Source organism: Homo sapiens, chromosome 11 (genome assembly GCF_000001405.40).
Source record: "Homo sapiens chromosome 11, GRCh38.p14 Primary Assembly".
NCBI classification, from domain to species: domain Eukaryota; kingdom Metazoa; phylum Chordata; class Mammalia; order Primates; family Hominidae; genus Homo; species Homo sapiens.
Window position 1 is genome coordinate 12,101,910 of NC_000011.10, and position 24,046 is coordinate 12,125,955.

Consider the following 24,046-nt stretch of genomic DNA (forward strand, 5'->3'; position numbering starts at 1 on the left):
GACAAATGGATCCCTTGAGGAGAAGGTGGAATTCATGTCTATTTCTCATCACCTCTAACTTTGACGATGTGGTGACCCTTAGAAGAAGGTTGCACCTTTCACCAAATAAGTGAACCTGCACCTGGCCCTAGATTCAGCAAAGCTGAAGGAGGAGAATCTGCGTGAGCTGCAGGAGCTGGAAGGCTGGCAACTGCCCCATGCCAGCAACACATGAGCGGCAGTGTTGCCTGGTGACCTGTGCTGATCTGGCACAACGATTGCTTCCTACGGCTGGGCACGGTGGCTCATGCCTGTAATCCCAGCACTTTGGGAGGCTGAGGCAGGTGGATCACCTGAGGTAGGGAGTTTGAGACCAGCCTGGCCAACATGGTGAAACCCTGTCTCTACTAAAAATACAAAAATTAGCTGGCTGCAGTGGCGCATGCCTGTAATCCCAACTACTCAGAAGGCTGAGGCAGGAGTATCACTTGAACCTGGGAGGCAGAGGTTGCAGTGAGCTGAGATCGCACCACTGCACTCCAGCCTGGGCACTAGAGTGAGATGGAGTCTCAAAAAAAAAAAAGAAAAAAATCCTTCCTGATCTCATGCAAATATCCCTTATGGCCAGTCCTAATTCAGAACCATCCAGGAAAGGAAATTCTGGAAAACAGGTCTAGCTTAGCAAGTTGTTATGATACAAAGCCACCACACTTATAAATAGGAGGGAAGGCAACTAACATTAATTGAGAGCCTTTACATATGCCATCTTATTTGATCTATGCTCTGATCTTACAAACACAGGGTTATTATCTCCACCTACTGGCTTGCTCCAATTCACACCATTAGGGAGCACACATGTTGGAATCCAGGTTGTTGGAGGTTGAACTCTTTTCAAGGGAATTTGACCAGTGAAGCTGGTTTGGGCTTTTCTATTTGGGAACTTGGTTCCATCACAGTAATGCTTGGAATGCCCCTGTGGACCTCGTTCACCTGAAAAGGAGGAGAACATCCCTTCTGAACCAATCAGAGCTAGTGCTGCCCTAGGTTGTCTCTTGGCATCTAAGCTGTTCCTAGGAGAAAGCTTTTAAGAGAAAAGTAGGTAGGAATTTAATTTTCATTTAAAAGTATTAATCCACTACAAAATGTACTGCACTTAGAGAGCAGCTTAATGTGAGGGCTGATGTGTGAAAGTAGGGGTGGGGAGGGGATAATAGGGGAGGAGGTCAGGATGATGTAACTTTCCCAGAGGTAAAAAGTATAAATTCCTCCGAAATTTCATATGGGCCCAGGTCTATAACTAGGGCTCAGGCTCATTAGCGAAATAGTTGCTGGGTGGTACAAGCACTTGTCTAGTCTATTTTTTGTTTGTTTTTAAATAGTTTCCTTTTATTCTTTCAACAAACATTTCCTGACACCTCCCACCTGCTGGGTGCTGTTTAAGCAATGTGCATTGAGGTTACAATGTTGCATACCACACGGAGGAGCCTCCTGAAGAGTTTTAAAGCCAAGGGCGCAGATGAGTTGCTCCTGTCTTCACGTGGGTTCCTGCAAAAGCCGACCCTGGGATAAGAGTCTGAATGTCAGCAGTTTATTGGGAAGTAACCCCAGGAAGCACCAGTAAGGGACCGGGGAAGTGTGATGGAGAAGTGGCAGGAGGAAGCCAATACAGGTTACTGCTGTGAGACCTGGAGCCCAGTCCTGCTGGGGCTCTCTGAGACAGAGCTAGAGATAGAGAACTCACCTTCAAGATGTCTTACCCGGAGGGGTGAGAAATTGGGGGTATATATCCACAAACCCTTGCCCACACTGTGTTGAAGGTTGCTCCCTGTGGTGTTAAATCACCTGTATTTCTGGTCTGCCCTGTGCATTGGCTGAGCTTACTGCTGAGGCTAGGGGAGAACCCTCAGGCAGAGTCCGAGATATTTGCATTAGAAAGCCAGTGGCATATATGGAAATCAACTGCCTGTGCTAGATCTACCTGACATATGTATACATGTCCTTCCTCCCTTCCTAACTGCTCTCAGTGTTCACTCAGGTGTTCCCCCTCTCCCATGCAGCCCAGGTGTCTCAGGGAAGCTGAGTCCACCCCAGCTCTAGGAGGGGGCCTTGACTGGCATGGACAATCAGCACATTCCATTCCTCTGGCTATGGCACCAGTTCAACTGGGCATGTGACCCACTCCAATCCGATGAAGCTCAGGACCATGCTTGGAATGCTGGGCCAGAAATATTCTTTTGGATAAGGAAGCGTGTGGCAATGAGAGCAATGACACTTGCTACCATGAGGAAAACCAGTCTGAAGAGAAGCTGACAGAGAGGAGGGCAGAGCTGAGACAACTGCAGAGTAAGGTGGCTGGAGCTTTCACCCCTGCAGTCTTCAGTTATAGGAGTTTCTTTCTCTCTTTCTCTTCTTGTGGTCAGGTTTCCTCCATTGCACCTGGCACACAATTCTTGGTAGCCCTAAGTTTCATGGAAAGAGAGCCTCTCTCACTGTGTATCTACACACTGGTCTTAACGAATTCTGCTTGGACCAGGCGCTTGGCTGTTGGACTGTTCACCATGGGGGCTTGATGTTTCACCAGGCCTGGGAACTGTGTCCAGTTCTGTAGCCAGGAGGGCAGGGATGTTACCAAAACAAGGAGGAATGGAGGAGCTGGCCAGTTCATTCCCTCCTCCACATACAACAACTAGCTTCCACAGTCCCCTGTGTGGTTCTTGCCACCTCTCTAGCTTCATCTTGGATTACTTTCATGTTCTATTCCCTGCTGCATCCCCTCCACTAAGAATAATGCATGGAAGATGGCAGGCACTCAGTCAGCATCTGCTCAATGAATGAAGGAAGGAATCTCTTGCAGTTCCTGGCTCTGCCCCTCATCCCTGATTCCGTGTTTCAGTTGCTGCCTGTCCTGAGCGCTCACCATACTCCTTCCCATCTGCCTGCCACTCATCTCTCAAGGCTCAGTGGAAGGGATGCCACCTCTGTGAAGTCTTCCCACTCCCCTCAGCCTCCTCGCTGTCCCCCAGCACCCCAGATAGATCTGGGGAGGCAGTATTGGGAATTGTAAAGAGCACGGGCTTGGAAGTCCACCAATTCGATTCATTTTGCCAGATGCTGGCCCCTAGGAGACTCTGGGCCAGTGATTTCACTTCTCCAAAATCCCATTTTCTCATCTCTAAGGAGTGGATGAAAATAGTACCTGCCTTTATAACATACACACAAGTCTGAGGCTGGGGACTAGGCAAGTCCCTGACCAGGAGTTGCTTACAGAATTGATGCCTCCTACAGACTCTAGTTCTCCATACCCTTAGTGGTATCATCACCAAGTATATTTACTCACAAACCCTTACATATGATTTATTATGTGCCTGGCGCTGTTCTAGCATGCATCTCCCCATTACTATTCCCCTACTACCTGCTGCACAAGGAGGTTAACTCCCTTGCTCAAGGTCACACAGTTAATAAGTGGCAGAACTGGGATTCAAACCCAGTCATCTTGACTTCAGAGTCTGTCCTATTAATAGCTTGGCTATGACACCTCCAGCCTAACTGCACTGTACATATTTCTGGGGTGGACACATGATGGGTGGATAGACAGATGAACTTGATTGAGTTCCCTCCTTGGACTAGAACAGAGAAGAATATTCCTGTCCTTGCCTCTAGCCAGCTGTTCTGGGAAGGGTTTGGAAGTACAAGTTGAAAGCTGTCTCCCAAGATCCATCAGTTACAGCAGTTCTGGAATGGGCTTCGGGTTTATGTGGACAGGAATCTGCCCAGGCTGCAGGTGTGGCCCAGCCTGCCATGAGGGTGCTCTGGGTTTTGTGGCATCAGTTGATCTCTAGAGGTCAGAATTATGTTATGCCCCTGGAATTCACAATTGTCTGTGAATCCCCAGTCTATCTGGGGCTAAAGCTAGACTACTTACATGACCCTATGTTTCTTCCCCTCTCTTCTGCACACCCACTCCATCGCTGTTTGCTCTGGTTGCTACATCTGGCTGGGATGTCACCTCCTGCCTGCAGCCACAGCTCTTTGCTCTCCAGCACTGACTTTCTCACCATTGCTGGCAACGTGCACACATTCACCAAAGTGCTGGGGTGCCTCCGAGGGCATTACTGACTTCAGCAGGTCCCAGACAGGTGCCATTTTTCTCTAAACCACCTCTGGAAAAGCCACTTAAAGCGAGGTAGGCCTGATGAGTTTTTAGTGACCTTGAAAACTTTTAGATGTTTTATCCGTGAACAAGCGGTTTGTTCTGAGGACTATAAAGATGATGAAGAGCTTGAACAAGGCCCCAGGGATCTTGCTTCTCACATACTGCTGAGTCTGTCTGTGGGAGATACAAATGTTTCCACTTCCTGGCTTAGAAAGTCCTCCAAGGACAGCTCCCAAGGTGCCCGGGGCCAATCAGCCCTTTCTCATCATTTAACCAGGTCACTGGACTCTGTCTAGATACCAGCCTTCCTCTTCCTTCCGAAAGACCAAAGCACTTTGATAGCAGCTTGGGGAGGAAGCCAGTGAGAACCACACTCACTGTTTTGCCCTTCTCTGGAATCTATGGCCTTCAGGAAGAGATCCAGAGCCCGGTGCAACTGTCTTCTCTGCCATTCAAATATCTTGAGGGGCACCCTGGCTTCATTACAGAAAATCTCCATCAGGAGTCCACTTAGTTCAACTCTGACCTCTCTTCAAGCATATTGCTAGGCTGGAAATAAAAGGAAGCCAGAACTGCCACCCCCACAGTCCTCTGAACACAATCAGGTGGATAAACGATGATGCCCGCGAGCACCAGCTGGGTTCTTTCAGGGGGAGGCATGCATAGTGCTGTGGAGGCCATTGCTTCCGTCTGAGATGAAGCTATATTTAGGGATGAATCTGGGCCTTCCTTCTCTTCCTCCCTCTCGTGCTAAGTGGCCATCTGCATCTCCCAGACAACCTCCACAAGCAGCATCCTGGAAAAGTGGCCTGGGGAAGAGGTGGCTATTAAATATAGACTATTGAGCCTGCTTCATAAAGATATTGAGTTAGTTTGCCTGTCATGCTAAGAGTGAGAAAGGGACATTGCATGCCTGGAACACACTTATTCACTCACTCTGTGACCATCAGAAGCATCCTTCTATCTCTGGGCCTCCATTTCTTTCCTTTTCTTTTCTTTCTTTTTTTTTTTTTTTTTTTGTTGTTGTTGTTGAGATGGAGTTTTGCTCTTGTCGCACAGGCTGGAGTGCAGTGGTGCGATCTCGGCTCACTGCAACTTCCACCTCCTGGATTCAAGTGATTCTCCTGCCTCAGCCTCCTGAGTAGCTGGGATTACAGATGCACACCACAATGCCCAGCTAATTTTTGTATTTTTAGTAGAGATGGGGTTTCACCATGTTGGCCAGGCTGGTCTCAAACTCCTAGCCTCAGGTGATCCACCTGCTTCGGCCTCCCAAACTGTTGGGATTATAGGCATGAGCCACTGTACCCGGCCTCTTTTTCTTTTCTTTATCTTCCTTTCTTCCTTATTCTTTCTACCCTCCCTCCTTCCCTCCTTCTCTCCCTCCCTCCCTCCCTTCCTTCTTCTTTTTTCTCTCTCTCTCTTTCTTTTTTCTATTTTTGAGACAGAGTCTTGCTCTGTCGCCCAGGTTGGAGTGCAGTGGTGTGATCTCGGTTCACTGTAACCTCCACCTCCTGGGTTCAAGAATTCTCTGGCCTCAGCCTCCCAAGTAACTGGGATTACAGGCGTGTGCCACCACACCCAGCTAATTTTTGTATTTTTGGTAGAGACGGAGTTTCACCATGTTGGCCATGCTGGTCTTGAACTCCTGACCTCAAGTGATCCACCCACCTCAGCTTTCCAAAGTGCTGGGATTACAGGCATGAGCCACCATGCCTGGCCTCTTCTTTTCTTTCATCTGCTAGGTAAGGGATTCGATAAATATTCCTCTAAAGTTTGCCCTAACTTTAGATCTTTCATTTGAAGAGCTGAGCTGTATAACTCCTAGACATAGTCACAGCCCAGCAGGACATCCCATGGTGACTGCTTAGTCCAGAGGAAGGTGAGTTGTGACATCCTTAACCCATTCCTCTTCTCTCTCCAGGAAGATGGTCAGCAAGGGTGGCTTGTGTGAGGTGGTGAGTGGCTCTGGCCACTGGCTCAAGAAGTCCCCAGGTTTATCTCCCTCCATGCAGTTAACCCTTCTCAGTTCCCAGGTTGCCCTGCGTCCAAGGAAAAGCTCACCTCTCAGCCCTCAGATGCACCCACCTAGCAAGAGTCTTTCTTATCTGAGCCCCCTGAGTTAAAAAGATTGGGAGTAGGGTAGGGGAGAGGAGGCAGAGGTTCTGGGAATGCATTGGTAAGTTCTAATTTTTAAGTTGCTTGAACTTCTGTGCTGAGCAATGCTATCTTTGTTAAACTTGGTTGGCCCACAGTGCTCCTGAAATAGCATTAAGCTTGTTTTAATCTGAAGGGAGAATGTTGTGCTATTGGTAAGGTGATAAAACTGTAAAAAAAAAAAAAAGAGTAATAAAGAATACAGCTCCCAAAGCACTGTGGTCTTCTTCTTCTTCTTCCTCTTCTTCCTTTTTTTTTTTTTTTTGAGATGGAGTCTCGCTGTACGAGCAATTCTCCTGCCTCAGCCCCCTGAGTAGCTGGGATTATAGGCATGTGCCATGATGCCCAGATGATTTTTTGTGTTTTTTAGTAGAAACGGGGTTTCACCATATTGGCCAGGCTGGTCTTGAACTCCTGACCTCAGGTGATCTGCCCACCTCAGCCTCCCAAGTGCTGGGATTACAGGCCTGAGCCACCATGTCTGGACAGCATTGTGTACTTCTGATTATTCATCTGTTGCATTATAAGTTACATGAGTGCAGGAACCACATTTGGTTCGGAGTAGGGTTTGTTAAATGAATGAATGACTCTGTCTCCATCTCTATCCACCACATGGGTGTCTCAGGTCCAGGCCAATAGCAAGAGGCTTTATGTCCAGTGTAGTTAAGGTGGGGACAGATGTAACACTGCTTCCTGAAGCTCCTCACTGCCTTGGGTTTCCTGTATCACTCTTCTAAATAAGGTAGGGCCAGGCCAGTGGAGTCTCCTCTCCCTTACAGTGCCCTGGCCTGAGCTTGACAGACTGTTTGGATGGACTGGGAGTGGGTCAGGCCTAGAGCAGCTCTTTCAGGGTTAGACTTGACCTGTCAAGTACCCTAGAGGCATGGGCAGTGCTGTAGAGGCCCCAGCACATAGTGTTTAGGCATGTAGATTCTGGAACCAGATCTGGCTCAAATCCGGACTCTGATACTTACTAACCATGTGATGTTGACCAGTTGCTTTACCTCACTGGTCTCAGTTTCCACATCTGTGAAATGGGATGATGATACAATACATACCTGTCAAGCCAGGCTTAGATGAGATCACGTGTGAAGGGCACTCCCCAGGCTGGCATCACAGGCAGATTTCCATCAGAGTGGAGTGCTGGCCCTCTGAGAGTACAAGCTGACTGGGCCTTGCAAACTGGGTAGGAACAGCTTTTGCTGGAAAGTTCATCTACAGGAAGTTGATTGAATTCTGAAGAGAGAGCTAAGAGAGCTGCCAGGTAGGACAATACCTGGTAAACACCAAAGGGCTGAGAGTAGGATCACATGGCAAGAAGTAGAGTAGAGAAAAAATAATAATAATCTGCAGGTTTGGGGAGGCAAACTGTTCTGTTTGCACTTGTCTGGCAAGGGAACATGGTGTCTCCTGGAGGTGGTCTTGTGCTGGGGAAATTCCAGCAGCCTGGAGCCACAATACTGTTTCTCACTGCTCAAGCCTGCCTGTTTTCCTCTGCCTAGGTAGCTCAGTTCCAAGAACACTTATTGATGCTTACACCGGGCCAAGCCCTGTGATGGGCCCTGGGTTCCAGAGGTGAGTCAGACATGGTTCCTGCCCATGGAGATCCCCATTTCATGATAACTGCTACAAGAGCCGTTTAAACACAAGGTGTTTTACAGTAGTTATAGTCTACAGAGTGCTTCTGATTGCTCACTAGGCCCCACTCCATTCACACTGTGTTGTCTGTGAATGTTGCTCTCTGGAGCTGTGGGGGGTAAGGGTAACCCGGGAAGGTGGGCAGAGCAGAGATTAAGATAGGGATATGACAGCCAAAGGTAGAGGGTGTTTAGGTGATCTGACCAAGGTAACACAGGTAGTCTGCACCACCGCCCCCTTCCCACTAGCTTTAGCCAAGCAAGGCCAGGTGAGGGGAAGATCCTATTAGCTAGCAAGGAGGTTTGCGGAAGCTCAGGGTGGTCAAGGAGCCGAGCAAAGAGGGAGGTCCACAGGACGTACACAGTCGGTACTAGAAGTGCCATGCTGCTCCCCCATGTCCAAAAGGGGATGCCGTGTCTTGCTTTCCAGCCGCCTAGACCAAGAAGCGTGAGGCCCAGGCCCTCGCCGCTCCCTTGATACCCGCTTACCAACACCGGGGGTTTCATCTCGCAGCGCCACCACGCCCCACTCCCAGCAGCCCTCCCCTGGTCTCCGCCCTGTGCGGGTCAGGGTGGGAGCGCCCGGCCACTCCCTGCGTTCTGGGCCGGGCTACAGCCCACGTGCGCCGGCGGCAGCGGCGGTGACAGCCGGCCCCACGGGGGCGGGGCGGGCTCCGTGCTGTCCTGTCATTGGCCGCGCCGCTGTCGGGGGCGTTCCCCAGCCCGGTCCACCGCGCGGCGCAGAACCGCAGGCGCTCGGCTGGCTAAGCCTGCGCCGGGCCGCCTCGCTCGCTCCCAGCTCTGTCAGTGGCCCGCGGGGCCCGATCGCTGCGCCCGCGGCCAGGGCCGAGGCAGGCCTGACCCGGGGCCGGGCAGCCCGCGCGACTTTCGGTAAGGCGGGGGCGGCGCTGGCCTCAGGGTGGGGAGGGCGGGCGGGCGCGGGTGGGGACCGTGCCAGCCTCGGCTGGACTCTGCGCCGTGTCCAACGCCCGGGAGGGTCAGGTGCGGCCGCAGCATCCCCCGCCTCAAACCCACCCGGCGGGGCGCACAGTGAGCAGGTGGCGCTGCGACGAAGCCCGGGGCGGCCCTGGCCGGCCTCTGAACCAATTAGAACGCAATAAAAGCCTCCCACCGGCACGCCGAACTACCTCTTACTCCGCTCCGCAACACCCAAACCCTGCAGTTCCAAGCCTAGAAAATCGCAAGCGCCAAAACGGGGTGGGAGTGACGCGCCTGCAGTGCTGCCTGTCACCTGGCAGAAGACCATCCCCAAACTTCCCAGGATTGGGGCTCCGAGCCTTGCACGCCCCGTTCCAGCTCTTCACTGGGCGCCCTTTTCCCCCTCCCCTGTCCCCTCCCTCTTTAGTAACAGGAAGTTAAGTTGGGCCAAATGTCAGTGGCCTGGCTGGCCGCGGGCTGGAGCCCAGTCGGGATGGGGTCGTGGCAGTGGTCCGAGGGGCCGCGGCACTGTCCGCTCTGCATCGCGTCTCCCGCATCCCCAGTAGCCCGCTCTCGCTCCAGGCCCAGGAGCACCCCCGCAGGGTGTCCGCGGCACCCACCCTGTAGGTGCCTGGCTGGCCCCGGGGAGAGGTGGGATCTTGCCCACAGCGTCTAAGCCGCTGCCGGGCCAGACGGGGCAGGTGGGGTAAATTGTATTCACCGCCAGCCTCACTGGCAGAGCTGGGAACGGCCTTTACTGGATGGGGATGAGGGGATGTGGAAACCAGAGTAGTGTGCCTCCTTCCACATTGTTTATTCTGAGGCCTGGGTTCTTAAAGCGGAAAGAGCTTTTATTTGGAAGCCTGTAGGGCCCCGCCAGGCCTACAGCAGTGTGCCGGCTCTCTTGCTGTGATTGTCGCCTGTTAACTACAGTCTACAATGATTTTGGTGAAGGATGAAGTCACCAGCCAGGCCCCTTGTGGGCTGGTCCCACGGGAGAAAAGCCAGAGGCGAATTGGCCCTCCAGTGTTTGTGCCAGGTTCCCTGACACCTGCACTTACTCTGTCCTGCTCCCCCTCCCCAGTGGCAGTCGACCCAACAAGTGGGCCTCCGGTCTCCAGGGTAGTCCTGTGCAATGCCCTGGAGACTCTAATACCGTAAGAACTCACTTTCTTCATGCAGAGAGAAGACGGACTTATTAAGTGCCTACTGGGCAACAGGTCCTGTCTTGTGGCACTTTTGCAGCCAATTTCATGGTTATTCCAAAAACGCTGAGAGTTTTGCCCTCCCCATTTTAGAGATGGGGAAAGAGGCTCAGGTATGGTAGGTGCCCAAGGTCACACAACAAGTGTCTGAGCCAGGTCCTGGCCCTGTCAGTGTGAGTCCAGTGCTCTTGTTTCATGGCTGTGGGAAGTGGTGTGCTGTGTGCAGGACCATGGCCCCACAGCGTGCTGACTAGAGCCTTCCAGCCTCTGAAAAGATGCTCTCCACCAGGATTTCAGGGGATGCTTCTTTGGCAAAACAGTTGAAGTGACCCAGGTTAGCCAAGTTGTTCAACCTGCAAACCCCTTATCCTCCCCCTAGTCAAGAGTAGTGGATAGTGTTGGCCAGATTGCTATGGGGAGGGATTGGGTGCTATTTTGGAAGGAAGCCTGCTTCTACCATTGACCTGGCCTCACCTCTGAGAAGCTGGCTTCTGGTATAGTCTAGGAGGACTGTGTTAGCTGAAATAACCTCTACCTTAGGACTGATTCTAGTTTCGTGGGGCTTTTGGGGGTGGGGGGGCAGGTGTTGGGGTGTAGTGTTATGGTTGTGGGGTAATTGAAATCCAGTTTGAACATACCTCTATAAAAACATGACATCACTTTTATCTCCAGCCCCTTCTTCCTTTAGGCCTAGGGCTCTGGCTTTCTGCTCATCCCCTCTTTCAAAAGAAAATCATGATAAGTCATGATTTTCATGACTTATTTTCATGATGTCATGAAAATCATGAAAACTGATACCAATCCATTATACTTTAGTATAAATCAGCTTTTAAGAACTATGCCTGGTTGTGGCTGTGGCCATTGGAGGCCCATTCCCAGGCTGCAAGGAGCAGCCATATGATCCCAGATTCCTTCTCTGCCTATAATTGGGGTATGTTTCTGTTCTCTCCACCCACACCTGGGTTTGCCTCCCAGCCATGGGCCTGCCCCCTTTGCTTCCCACTGCTGAAGTATAGAGGTCTTGTCTTCTTGGTGGAAGCCTTGGCTCTGGCAGGACGGGACGTGGTAAGGGTAAAAGAATAACTTGGTTAAACATTGCTGATCCTAGATGTCCTCTGAGGGCTAACAGTCTCTATTCTTTAAAGAGTCAGAGAAGAGAATACTGTTCATCATGCTGAGATGTTTCATTCTTTACATCATTCTATTGTTTCATTCTGCCTCTAAAGAAGTGGGGTTAACTGCATTTTACAGGTGAGGAAGCTGAGACCCAGAAAGGTTACAACTTGGCCGGGTGTGGTGGCTCATGCCTGTAAAACCAGCACTTTGGAGGCTGAGGTAGGAGGATCATGTGAGGCCAGGAGTTCAAGGCCACCTTGGGCAACGTAGCAAGACTGCTGTCTTTAGTAACAACAACAACAAAAAAGGTTACAACTTGCCTGCATCACACAGCATGTATGAGTGCAGTTTGAGTGTGGAGAATTAAATGCTATGGGAAGCAGGAAAAGCCTGTGGCTGTCTCTGCACTCTGGAGGCTTGGCAGGCACAGCTCCTCTGCTGCGCAGTCATCTCCCTTATCCGCGGTTTCACCTTTCGAGGTTTCGGTTACAGTCAGCCATGGTCTGAAAATATTATAGTATTTTGAGAGAGACGGAGACCACATTTACATCGCTTTTATTATAGTATATTGTTATAATTGTTCTATTTTATCATTAATGTTGTAATCTCTTAAGGTACCTCATTTGTAAAGAAAACTTAATCGCTCCTGTATGTATAGAAAAAAACACAGCATATATAGGGTTTGGTACTATCCAAGGTTTCAGGCATTTACTGGGGGTCTTGGGATGTATCTCCCTGAGATGAGGGGGGGCTACAGTACTTACCCTTTCTCACCCTATATTGTAATTATTTATGAACATGTCTTCTCACCTCACTATGAAATGGCATTTAAAACACTCAGAAACTTGGCAGATTTATTTTCTGGTTTTGCAAATCCTCTGTGCTCTTTGCTCTGTATTTCCTTAGCTTTTATGCGAGCTATGTCCATGAGGGTATCTACCAGGATGTATTGCAGTCCTCTCTCAAAAATATTACAAACATTTTCACATACACAAACTCATAATGCATAATCAGCCCCATATACTCATTACCCAGCTTCCACAGTTATTGAGATTATGCCTGGTTGGCTTCCTCTCTCTCTTTTTCTCCCTTCCCCTCTGAAAGGAATATTTATTCCTGAGATATTTTAAAGCAAATGTCTAATGTCATGTCATTTGGCCTCTATATAATCCAGTATACAACTCTTTTAAAAAGGACGTTGTCTTGCATAACCACACTTCACTACTGCACGTAACAGAATTAACTGTGCTTCTTAGACATCACCTGTCCACCTGCAGATATCCTTGATTGTGTCAGAAATGACCTTTAGAGTTGGTTTGTTTGAACGAGGATCCAGTTGGTATGCCGCATTAGGCCGTTGGTCCTTTTATGCCTGGTTTTAGTTTAGAGAAGCGCCCCCTCTTTAGCCATTACCCTCTGTGTTAACTGCCCATCTCCCCTACTACATAGGGAGCCCCTTAAGACGAGCCCACCTCTTGGCTGTGCTGGATCCTCAGCACTGAACGCCGTGTCTGGGACACGCAGAGGCTCCATAAGCATTTGTCCAGTTGTATCATAGCCACTCAGGAAATGTGCTTTGAATTGATGAACCCAGTCACGGATTTGTGTGACTACCAGTGCATGTGCTTAGATAAGAGGTTTTAAAAAAATGACTTGCTTACGTGTGGACGTTTCCTCAGCACGCGTCGGTCTGTAAACATCCTAAAATAATAGAAGAACTATCTGCTGCTCCCCCTCACTGTGCTGGTTTGTGGTGGGGAGCCGAGACAGCTGCGTTTGTGCCTTGATCAGCAACCGGCCTCCACAGGTCACACGTGGGGCTGACGGAGACTGAGGTCACTTCTGTCCAAGCTTTGAATTCTGCCACAGGAATGACCATGTTATGACCCAGAAACCTGGCCCTGGGCTTGGTGGAGACCACTCATCTTTTCTTCTTCCTTCTGTCTCTGGACAGTGCTGCTTCTCCTGTGCCTTCCAGAGCCTTCTCTAACCTGCCTTACTCTTGGGCAAGTTGTGGTGCCTTCTTCAAATCACTATTCATCCACAACTGGGGCAGGTCGTGATGGAAAATAAGTGTTTATAACCTTCAAGTGTCTTGTCTGAATTTGTTCTATAGAGTTAGCACCACCACTGGCACATTTGTGGGTGACCTAATGAAGGAGACCGGAGGCTTAGGAGGGCAGGAGAAGATGTACCTTCTTCTCTTGGTAATGGACTTCACACCTGGTTCTCTCACCAGATGTCCTTAGGGGTGCTGGACACCTCGATAGGTGTCTTTTACCCATCCAGTAATGGCCCTTCCCTGCGAACAGCCCTCAACATGAAGACATGGTTTGTTTGGGGCTTTTTTTCTTTTTTTCCTTTTTAACACAGACAGGCTTTTAATTTTTATTTTTTATTTTTGGTAGAGACAAAGTCTTGCTATGTTGCCCAGGCTGGTCTCAAACTCCTGAGCTCAAGCAACTCATCTGCCTTGACCTTCCAAAGTACTGGGATCACAGGTATGAACCACTATGCCTGGCCTAGCCTTTTGCACTAGGACAAAATCTAACAAAATTTTAAGTTTTCTGACTCTGGATGGCAGTGCTAGAGTTGATCTTTTCCTTTATCTTTTGCTTTTTAGTACTATTTTTCAAAATTTTTTGTAGGACAAATATTTTATGTTTATAAAGAAAAATCCAAATATTTATTTTCTTAAAAAAGAAGACTTCTTTCAACCAATTTGAAGTAGGTAGACAGAATTATACGTGTATTTGGAACGGTTATACATGCAGATAAAGCCCCAGCACTATTGGGATTTCGATATTTGCTTGGATCATTATTTCCACGATGAACATATCCCGACTTTCTGAAAGTTAGAAAATACTACCCTCTTTCCCTTTCTTTTTTTTTTTTTTTTTTCTGAGATGGAGTCTCGCTCTTTCACCCAGGCTGGAGTGCAGTGGGGCCATCTTGGCTCACTGCAAGCTCTGCCAGGTTCATGCCATTCTTCTGCCTCTGCCTCCTGAGTAGCTGGGACTACAGGCATCCGCCACCATGCCCAGCTAATTTTTTTTGTATTTTTAGTAGAGACGGGGTTTCACTATGTTAGCCAGGATGGTCTTGATCTCCTGACCTCGTGATCCACCTGCCTCGGCCTCCCAAAGTGCTGGGATTATAGGCGTGAGCCACTGCGCCTGGCCCCTCTTTCCCTTTCTACTTCCTCCTTTGCTATCCCTCAAATGAAATTTTTCTAATGTTAGGCTCTTGATTTTGATTTTTTTTTTTTTTTTTTTTTTTTTTAACTGAGGAAGGTTGAGCCCTCAGGGGAAGACAAAATGACACAGAGTGCTAAGACAAGGCAGGGCAAAGTTCCACGCTCCAGTGGCCTGTCTTGTCCTCTCAGGAAAGTGCCCAATGGCCAAACACCCTGCTCCATCACTTTGGGGTGCCTGGACTCCTCCCTCCTCTAGTTTCTGTTTTCCTCCCTACACCCTCCCCAAAGGTAGACAGCATGGCTGGCCTGGGCTGATAAGGTTTCTTCTTCCTAAAACATCGATCACGTGGCCTCAGAAATTCAGAGCCCGAGGGAGTGATAGGTGACTCTGGCCCTCTGTTCACGAACAAACTTTCTTTGCAGGATTGGGTCAACCATGGGGTCTGATTTGGAGATGCTTCCCTTCTCTGTCAGCTGCTCATGTCTCAAATGAAGAGCCTTTTGTGATGACCATGTATGGAATAGTGTCTGAAGTACCACTGCACTGTACCTGTCTTTGCGTCTAAACATCACTACCATCATCACGGGACAAACCGCCCATCTCAGTGGTGTCTGGCAGTGAGCTGTGCGTATGTGGATAGTGCTGGTGTTTTTAGGGTTGAAATTTTTAGTTTGTTCTTTATTTGAGCTAATGTTTCTCTCCTCTGAGGGTCAGGGTAATTTCCCTGCCTTCCTCTTTCTCTCAAATCCCCACCTCCCAGTGGCTGTCCTGATACCTTGAGGCACCTGCATTCCTTCCAAGGCTTGGTTAGATTTCTTTTGATGAATTACAGAGGTAAGGGCAGGCAGAAGAACCGGAGCTGTGCTTCCTGCTGGTTTGGGGCTCAGGTTTTTCTCCTTTGCTGGGCAAGAGAGAATGTCTAGTGCAGATGTTCTTTCTGCTGGCAGCAAGAGGAGGGCAGCAAGGGGTTGGACGGTGGTCCCTGGCCTCTGAGCCACTGCAACAGCAGGTTTCTGGGACATCTCCAGACCTAAGGTCTTGACGCACACAGCCTGGAAGCCCAGCACATGCTGGAGACACGAGTGGGAGTCTAAGAACACCCTGTTCTGGCCTTGCTGCAGCAGTACCAACATGTTGAGGTGCAGAAACTACTTCTTTGTTCCCACGACTCTGAATGGCTGGCCCTGGCCACTTATCTGAATACTGACTTATCTGGTGAAGCTTTGCAGGATCTCAGTATATAGTGTGTTGGAGCCAGGATAATGAGGTGTAGGGGAGACTGAAGAAGCAGCTCTCACTAACAAGAGCTGCCCTCTGAAACAGAGTGGGCCCAGGGTCTGCCAGGGGCTTGGTTGCTGAGCCCTCATTGGACAACTGTTCATCCAAAAGGAGCAGAATGGGGGTTGGGTGCTGTGTGTAGAGTCTGTGGCTGCTGTCAAATCAGCTCCATGTATCAGGACAGCCAGGCTTTGCACAATCTGATGCAAAGGTAGTAAGATCAGGATCTCCCTGCTTGTAAGAAGGAGGCTACATCATTTGTCTGATGACTAAATGAAAGGAAAACAGAATAGAGAAACACACAAGGGGATTTCCAACCTCTTTCCAGACCCTCAGGGAGAGGATTCACTCAGCCTTTTTCTTCAGGGAATGTCCTGTGAGGCTCATGCAGTTGGAGCCTTGGGGACCATGGGGTCCATGTCGGGAGAGCTTCCCGGCCACATGCCTGGAGTTGCCACACATTACTGTTGTGAAGGAGGAGTAGGAGGAAGCACTGTGTGAAATTTCAGGCTTCTTCTGGATTCCAGGTTTGCCCCAACCAGATGACCTAGAAGGTCTTGCTTGGGCGTGTTGGTTATCTTGTATCTTGGGCTTTCTTAAAAGTGACTTACCCACACATACATACATATGTGTGTGGTACTCATCCCACACATACATAGATGCATAGGACTTACCTTCACACGCACACATAGATGCACGGTAAGATATCCACTCAGTACAAAGGAAATTGAATGAAAAGTACATCTCCCTTCTTTCCCTGTCCTCCAGCCCTCAGTTCTTACTTTTTTGGCAGCTGTTGTCCCCAGCCCCCTGTGGATCCTTCCAGACATAGTCTAGGCATGTCCTGGTGCCTGTTCCCCTTCTGCTCTTCCTGCGGCCTGCTGAAGAAGCAACCAGGATGTAAAGAGACAGGGCCCACAGGGCTGCAGAGACTTGGCCATTGTCTCATTTGGCCAAGGCCTAACCATTTCCCCTTCCACTCTACTTTGCCAGCTCTCTCCTTTAGGAGTCCCCTTGTGTTCGATTTGGGGGTTCAAAGAGCCTGGAATCTGAGAATAAACCTCAGGGGCATGTTGTGGATGCAGGTGACATAGGCAAAAACAAAAAGCACTAAGACAGACCTGGGCTCAAATCCGAGCCCTGTGGCCTTGGGCGAGTTAATGAATCCTAGTATTTTAGTCTACATAAAGGAGGTAATTATACCTATTACAAGAGCTTGATCTGGAGATGAAATTAAAATATTTGTGAAGTCCCTTGCCTGGATATGCACTCCAAAATGTCAGGGTTTTTGTTGTTGTTGTTGTTTTGTTTTTTCACATTTAACGAGTGACCCATTGCCAGAATGAATGACACTGGTATGGAGTCCTCTGGATGGCTTTCTGAAAATCCTCTAGGTGGGTTCCTGAGCTTTTCTTTCCCTGCAGAAGGCAGCCAGTTCTCCATTTTCTACCAAGTTGAGTTGGCCCCACTACTTCCTCCTCCTGTAGGGAGCCAACCTCCATCCTTCCCAGCCACTGGATACCACCTCCTCCTCTGCCCTTGACCCCTGAACCCTCTTCTCCGTTTCCCTGGGCTCTGGGTTCCCCCCTCCTCCCCTCGTGAACAGGATGCTGCCTGCCGCCTGGAGAGTGCTGTGGGCTGTTTATGGCTGCTCTCTGGGGTGTTTATGTTGTATCTCTTCAGAAGCTCCTAGCAGATGTCTGTTTATTGCTGAAACTTCATCTACGGCATGAGAGGAGAGAGGCTATTTTTAAAGATCTTTAATTGGCATGGCTGCACAATACAGCTTAGATTGCCTCCAAGTTTAATTCTTCATCGCTCTTATGCTCTATCCATTATGAAACCCTTCAAATCCAGCCTGAGAGACCTTATATGTCCTGATTTTAGAGCAGCACTTAAATTCAGCAGACAGTTGTAATCTCTAAAAAAGGTAGGCCAAGGAGGTGAAGGCAACTGGCTGACTGTCTTTTGTCTAGGCCGAGACAGATGGCATGAATGAGAGCATAGAATGCAACACCTTTCCCCCACTTCTGCCCCTTCTTTCCACCTGCAGTGGTTGAGGCCCGCCCTCATAGGCCGCCTGCGGATTGGCTGGGAGATCTCTAGCTCTCCCTTTCCCTTTGGACTCAGGTGGGGCTTGAGAGTGGGGTAGTTTCAAATGACACTGACCTCCCAGGAGGGAGGAGGCCACAGAGGCCATGAGTCACAGAGCCTTGGGATGTCAGGTTGGATGGGCCTCATGGGATGGTGTAGTTCTCATCCTGGCCACCTTGTTTTACCTATGGAGAAACTGACACTCGGATGCTTCCTGATGCTGAGTGGACAGAGAGGTGTGTTTCTTGCTCAAGGTCACCCAGCCAGGTCAGAGTCAGGTCTCTTTTCCATCTACCATTTCCCACCAGGCTGTGGTCCTTGATCAGTCTAAGGCAGCTGTGCTTACAGTTGGCTGCGTGTACCGAAGGACAGAGCCTCATCCTCCCTTTCTAAAACCTCCCACATTCTTTGAATTTATGCTGTGTACGCTTGTAGCACTGGCTGGTCTCAGTCCCAAGATCTTTTCTTATCATGAACACCTCCCCCAGAGCCTTGGGGCTTAGAATTCCCACCTTTGTTCCTAGCCCTTGTCCGCAGAAGCCCTTTGTTAAAAATACAGAAGTTAACTGGGAAGGACCATATGTTGACAGAGATGAGTTTATCTTTGATTAGCTGTCAGCCAAGGGCTGAACCTTAAGAGGATGGGGCATAGGATGAGTCAGCTGGGAACAGGAGGAGGAGGGAATCCTGAGAGATGGCAAATAGGGTGCTGGGGGCATCAACAGCCATAGGCCCAGGCTCGGAGCTCACAGTGTGCAGCTGCTGGGCTAGAGTCCCTGTGATGACTGGTGGAAGCTGCCTGCTCTTCTAACTCATGGAGGGAGGTGCATTAGACAAGCTCACCTGTGGCTGAACACCGAGACAGAGTATGGAATGTCCACAGAGTCCCACAGTAGGGGGGAACCAGGGGAGGCTTCCTGGAGGAGGTGGAGTTTGTAGATTGAGAAGGGTATTGGAAGATAGGTATGATTTCCATAGGCAGAGATGGGCAGAGGTAACAGCACAAAGAGATGTAGAAAAGTGAGGGCACAGTCAGGGTACCATGTGGTAGAAACGTGAGGGCTGCCTAGAGAAGCTGAGGCTGGAATCAGGCTGCTCTGAGGCATGGAGAGCCCTGAGTTCTGGGGGCGGTGTGGGTGTGGACTGAACCCAGCGGACTGTGGGAAGCTGTCAGAGAGGGATAGTCAGAGTCATCCTTCAGGGCACTGCCCTCCGTTCACGGGAGGTGCACACTGCCAGACAGCTGCCATTCCCCTGGACTGAGGAGGGCTGTGGGGAACAGGGTGGGGGGCAGTAAGGCTGGGCCCCCAAAAAGACTTTGTCTGTATCCTGGCTTTTGACCCACAGCCTTCTTTGTGAAGGGAGTCTGCAAGCAAAATGTTGTCTTTGGTTTATCAGGAGGGCAGCCCTTTTTGGAACTCCTGGTTAGGGTCTTAGGATATGGGACATCTGTCACATTCTGCAGCTTGTACACCCAAGTGTGGCTGTCTGAGCTTTGGTGGCTCTTGACTCTGTGTAGCAAACAGCGTCTGCTTCACTTTCACCACCTCGCTGCGGGCTAAGCTCTTCACACGGATCTTCTCCTGACTCAAGGTCAATTTGAGGGGAATAAATAGGGCAGTCGAGGTGCTGAGCTCCTCTGGGGGCTACTGCTGGAGCAGGAGCAGGAGTTCCCTGTCTGTGTGTGAGGGAGGCAGCAAAGCTGGGATGGTGCAGGAACCCAGCTGACCACCTCCTCCAAAGAAAGCGCCTTTGGAAGAATTGGCTCTGTAGGAGTCAGCGGCTGTCAGAGCATTTGTACATCATCTGGAATGATGCTGATTCTCTCCTCTGCACAGCCTCACAATCACCTGAATATCCCCTTCAAGTGCATCCTGCCCTGGGTTTCCTGTGTGCACATTGAGTTTCCTTCTCTAGTTGAAGAGAGAGTTTGCAGAGGCTGGCAAACCTGGAGCTGGACTGAATGGCCTGGACAGGTGGAGCAGGTAGGGGGTTGGTTGCCTCCCAGCCCTCTGGCCATCGTGGCCACAGGGAGGTGGATAAAGGCTGAGCTCTGCTTCCGCCTGCTCCCGTGTTAAGCTGGCAGATGGGAGGCACCACAGCCTGGTGCATTTTCAGCTTTGACATTTGAGCGGGGCTGGCACCTGTTCTCTTCCATGTATGTCTCAGGGACACTTTTGCTTTATGTGATGGAATAAATTGTTCCCGCAAGCAGCAAATGTAATGAGTTTAGTGCTATTGATGGGAGGTATTGATGGGATTTGGGGTGGGGCACTGAAATGGGCTTGCTTTCTTTTTTCTCCTAGGATCAGTGCTACCCATATGAGAACAAGCTGATTTGTTCACTGATTGATAAATTGATTGCTCAGTGCATTCATTCTGTCAGCCAAGATTTTTGGAGTACTCTCAATTTGAAGCATGCTGTCACAGACAGACCATGGGTTTTCAGTCACTGTAAACACTGGACAAGCCACACACATACTATCTCTGAACCTTGGGTTTGTTCTCTGTAAAATGGGAGTGATGCTACTTACCTCACGGGGAGGTTGTGAGGATTAAATGGGGTAATGGGCGTAGCACACCTCTCATGGTGCCTGGCACATAGTGGCCTGCAGGTGGCCTCTTCCCCTCTGGCTCATTCCTGAATTGGCCCACAGGAGCCTTGGAGCACAGATGTGGGCAGGGTTCCTTGTTGCCGCAGGCCTCTCATTCGGTACTGGCCCCTAAGTGCCTTTTACCTTTAATAACTTTTAATTGTTTTTTAAAGACAAGAGTCTCACTCCGTCACCCAGGCTGCAGTGTAGTGCGATCCTGGCTCACTGCAACCTCTGCTTCCCAGGTTCAAGCAATTCTCCTGCCTCAGCCTCCCGAGTAGCTGGGATTACAGGCATGTGTCACCACGCCTGGCTAATTTTTGTATTTTTAGTAGAGACAAGGTTTCTCCATGTTGGCCAGGCTGATCTCAACCTCCTGACCTCAAGTGATCTGCCTGCCTCAGCTTCCCAAAGTGCTGGGATTACAGGAGTGAGCCACCGCGCCTGGCCTGCCTTTAATGACTTTTTAAAGGGAATGGCTCAGTCAAAGCACCTGTGTGTGCAGTGAAGAACGATGGGCCACCTTTCGCTTCCTGGTGAGAAGTTCTTCTCATAAACCTTGGAACTGCAGGTCTGGGAGAGCCTTATCATCAATCCCACTGGATGCTTGACTCCACAGTGGTGGTTTAGCCTGAGTTTATAGGTGGGAGGTGATCCATCCTGTCTTTGAACTCCTCCTTCCTGATGGCTTCCTATAGCTTCTGGCATTTGGTCCCAGTTCTTCCCCTTGGGTGCCATGGAGAGTAGGTCTAATCTGTCTACCACCCAATAGCTCTTCAGAAATTGTTTTTTTTTAATCAAATCTCTAACACCATCAACTGAAAGATATACCATTATTTCATGTACCCTCAAGAAAGAAAAAGAGCTGCCAATTAAACTGTGGCACAATGCTTTGCCATTGCTTAAAATTTTTATTCTATATTTTCTGAATTTTTTAAGATTTTAGACATACTTTTTTTATTTTATATCACTCTTGCATATATATAAAAGTAAATTGGTTAAGGCATTTCTAAAACTTCGCTTTCAGAATCTAACTCTTCTGAATCACTTTTTGACTGAGATTCATCAATGTCCATGGTTTTCTGACTCACTGTTCTCTTCTAGTCAGGTGGGGATGTATTTCTTCATCTCTCTTGTCCCTGGAATTTTTTCCAGCTGCTGACACCCATTATGTCAGTTCTGGTGTTTTCTTGATTTTACCAGAAGGCATCAATGAAAGTTTTTTTGTTAACAACCAGGACTCACATTCCTTCCTTAAATGGTCCTTAAAAGTATTGGCTCCTGAAATGTTTTAGATCATGGTTGTTCAGATATGCCACCAGGAATGAGTCAAATTTCCATATGTGAGGCGGTGACAGCTATGCCACAGCTGCATCCCGGGAGAGATCGTTAGGTTTCAGGGGGTTTTAAGACACATTCTGCTTTCAGACATTTTATAATGGGAAAAATGCATTTCTGATCAGTGAAATACGTTATTTAAAGACAGCCCTCTGTTTCTCTCCTGCATCTTCTTCCAGATTAACAACCCACAGTGTGGGTTCAGGATTTTTACCTTCTCTGTGGTTTTCCTCTGAACATGCCTTAGTTTGTTCAGATCTTTTTATACAGCGAAGGCAGTGTCCAGACCATATATTGTATTTATGGTATGAGGACAGCAGAAGAAGGGAGCTATCACCTCCAGTTCCGGACATTCTGCTTCTCTTAATGCAGCCCAAGACTCTATGAGCTTTGCTGGCAGCAGCATCACATCACAGACGTTACTGCTGACTAGGTCTTTTTAACATGTGCTGTTGCTAAGCTGCTTCTCCCCTGTCCTAAACTTGTGTGGCTTTAGAATTTAAAGGCAGAGCCTCCTATTTTGCTCCTGCTTGATTCAGAATGATCATTCCTGTTAAGTTTCAACTTGTTAAATTCAGTGCAGCCCTGTTCCATTGATCAGAATCCTATTTAAGTATGCCTTCCACAGCGTCACCCAAGTCATGATAAATGCTTATCGAAGGGACCCCTCTGTCACACTCCTGGAGACCTCCCCTCAGTGGACTTGCGATCTTTGACCGACTGACTTTGGGAAGAGTGATTGAAGCCGCCCCTAGCCTAGTCTCTGTCCTTTTGCTTCTCTGACCTAAGACGCCTTTCTGAAGCTAGATAGGCCATGCCCATTGCAGTTCTGCATCTACTATCAAGTGCTTCATCAAAAAGGACATGAACAGCCTTAACGTTACGTGTTCTCAGCTCCTCGAGGGCTCCAAGGTTGCTTTCAGCTGTTCCTGGGCTGCTCCCCAGAGATTGCACCAGGCAGCTTAGCATCTCATCTGTGAACGTTTTCCGTGCTCTGGGAGGTCACTTTCCCGGGCTAGGGGACTTGAAGTCATTGCAAATGTCTAAATATCCTTTTTAAAAAACAAAACAAAAACACTAAACCCCTATCTCCACTCTACTCTTCATTCCAGTGTTGGTTCTTTGCTCCCCTGTCCTGGTCTCCTCAATTGTTTGGCTGGAGTTGCATTCAGAGTCCAAGTCATTAACTTCCTCCACCTCGCATCTAGCAGCTCTTCTGATCTCCCAGCCACTTGAAGTCTGTGTTCTTTGAGTCTCCAGCACCAACTTCCCCTTCTTGGTCTTTTGCTAATTTCACAGGAAATGATTGTTTTTCCTCCACAGTTCCTGTGTCCTTCTGGTCACTAACCCATTCCACCATTGTTGTGGGAATTAGGGAACTAGGTTAGTCCCTGTTTCTATGGACACATCCTCTCTCTTCTAGATGATGAAACTCTCTGCAAAGCCAGGCTTAGCCTTTAGCCACTGGGGCTTCCTGCGCTCTCAGGGTGTCTGATCTCAGCCCCACCCGCCAGAGCTCATCTCTGGCTAGCCTGGGATCTGTATCAGCAGCAGCCCAGTGGGGTCCATTTCCATCGTATCTCTATGCCTTAGTTCTTCCCTTCTCACCCATGTGTTCTCCAGAATATTTCTCTTTATTTCATGGGCTTTTCACATAGCTGTACATCTTTTTTTTGAGACGGAGTCTCGCTCTGTCACCCAGGATGGAGTGCAGTGGCGCGATCTCGGCTCACTGCAACCTCCGCCTCCTGGGTTCAAGTGCTTCTCCTGCCTCGACCTCCCGAGTAGCTGGGAATACAGGCATGCACCACCATGCCCTGCTAATTTTTTTGTATTTTTAGTACAGACGGGGTTTCACCATGTTAGCCAGGATAGTCTTGATCTCCTGACCTCGTGATCTGCCCGCCTCGGCCTCTCAAATTGCTGGGATTACAGGCGTGAGCCACCGTGCCCGGCATCTTTTTTTTGTTATGTAGAGACACTCTATCTCTCTGCCCTGTCCCAAGTCTAGTCCTTTAAAAGATAAAGCCTGGGTGCAGAGAAGTGTGTCTAGTCTGCTATCAGTTAATGTAAACAAAAGGACACATATTTATATTTGTGTATATATGCATAATCACGGTCCGGAAACAGACACAAGCAACTGATAATAGTGGTGACCTGTTTTAGAGTGGGGACGTGGTAGGTAGATGGGGACAGGAGTAGGAGGGAAACTTTTTCTGAATACTTTTGTATTCTTTTGACTTTGGAATCCGGTGCAAGTATTTCTTATTCAGTTTTTTTTTTCTTTAAATAACAGATAATCTGGGATGCCTGATTGGCTAATGTGAACTGGTGAGGCCATGTGGAGTGAGTGACTCAC

At 49.1% G+C, this 24,046-nt stretch overlaps 1 protein-coding gene across 18 annotated transcripts in view, besides 6 other annotated features; it reads left to right on the forward strand.

The window, feature by feature from the left end:
- Positions 1,827-2,327: an enhancer, noted in NCBI's record as "NANOG-H3K4me1 hESC enhancer chr11:12125283-12125783 (GRCh37/hg19 assembly coordinates)". NCBI's record gives its function as "activates a minimal SCP1, AML or CMV promoter by ChIP-STARR-seq in naive H9 embryonic stem cells {active_cell/tissue: H9 hESC(naive)}" and the evidence as "EXISTENCE:reporter gene assay evidence [ECO:0000049][PMID:30033119]".
- Positions 8,375-9,044: a silencer, noted in NCBI's record as "silent region_3161". NCBI's record gives its function as "represses an Ori minimal core promoter by ATAC-STARR-seq in GM12878 lymphoblastoid cells {active_cell/tissue: GM12878}" and the evidence as "EXISTENCE:reporter gene assay evidence [ECO:0000049][PMID:35858748]".
- Positions 8,375-9,290: a biological region, named in NCBI's record as "H3K27ac-H3K4me1 hESC enhancer GRCh37_chr11:12132043-12132746".
- Positions 8,587-9,290: an enhancer, noted in NCBI's record as "H3K27ac-H3K4me1 hESC enhancer chr11:12132043-12132746 (GRCh37/hg19 assembly coordinates)". NCBI's record gives its function as "activates a minimal SCP1, AML or CMV promoter by ChIP-STARR-seq in naive H9 embryonic stem cells {active_cell/tissue: H9 hESC(naive)}" and the evidence as "EXISTENCE:reporter gene assay evidence [ECO:0000049][PMID:30033119]".
- MICAL2 (microtubule associated monooxygenase, calponin and LIM domain containing 2) overlaps positions 8,681-24,046 on the forward strand; it is a 251,551-nt gene continuing 236,185 nt past the window's right edge. For 16 of the 18 annotated variants that reach the window (NR_144419.2, NR_144417.2, NR_144420.2 and 13 more), the window contains exon 1: positions 8,681-8,817. The gene's annotated coding sequence lies outside the window, so the exon portion shown is untranslated. Of the gene's footprint in view, positions 8,818-14,805; positions 15,008-24,046 lie in introns of all 18 variants that reach the window. The other 2 variants (NM_001346293.2, NM_001346297.2) reach the window with 2 other exon arrangements.
- Positions 14,620-14,764: an enhancer, noted in NCBI's record as "145 bp enhancer 176/177 fragment used in the MPRA reporter construct; PK_construct_4235". NCBI's record gives its function as "activates an SV40 promoter by MPRA in K562 cells {active_cell/tissue: K562}" and the evidence as "EXISTENCE:reporter gene assay evidence [ECO:0000049][PMID:23512712]".
- Positions 14,684-14,701: a transcriptional cis regulatory region, noted in NCBI's record as "GATA motif; enhancer activity is reduced when this motif is scrambled". NCBI's record gives its function as "necessary for full MPRA enhancer 176/177 activity {active_cell/tissue: K562}" and the evidence as "EXISTENCE:site-directed mutagenesis evidence [ECO:0005528][PMID:23512712]".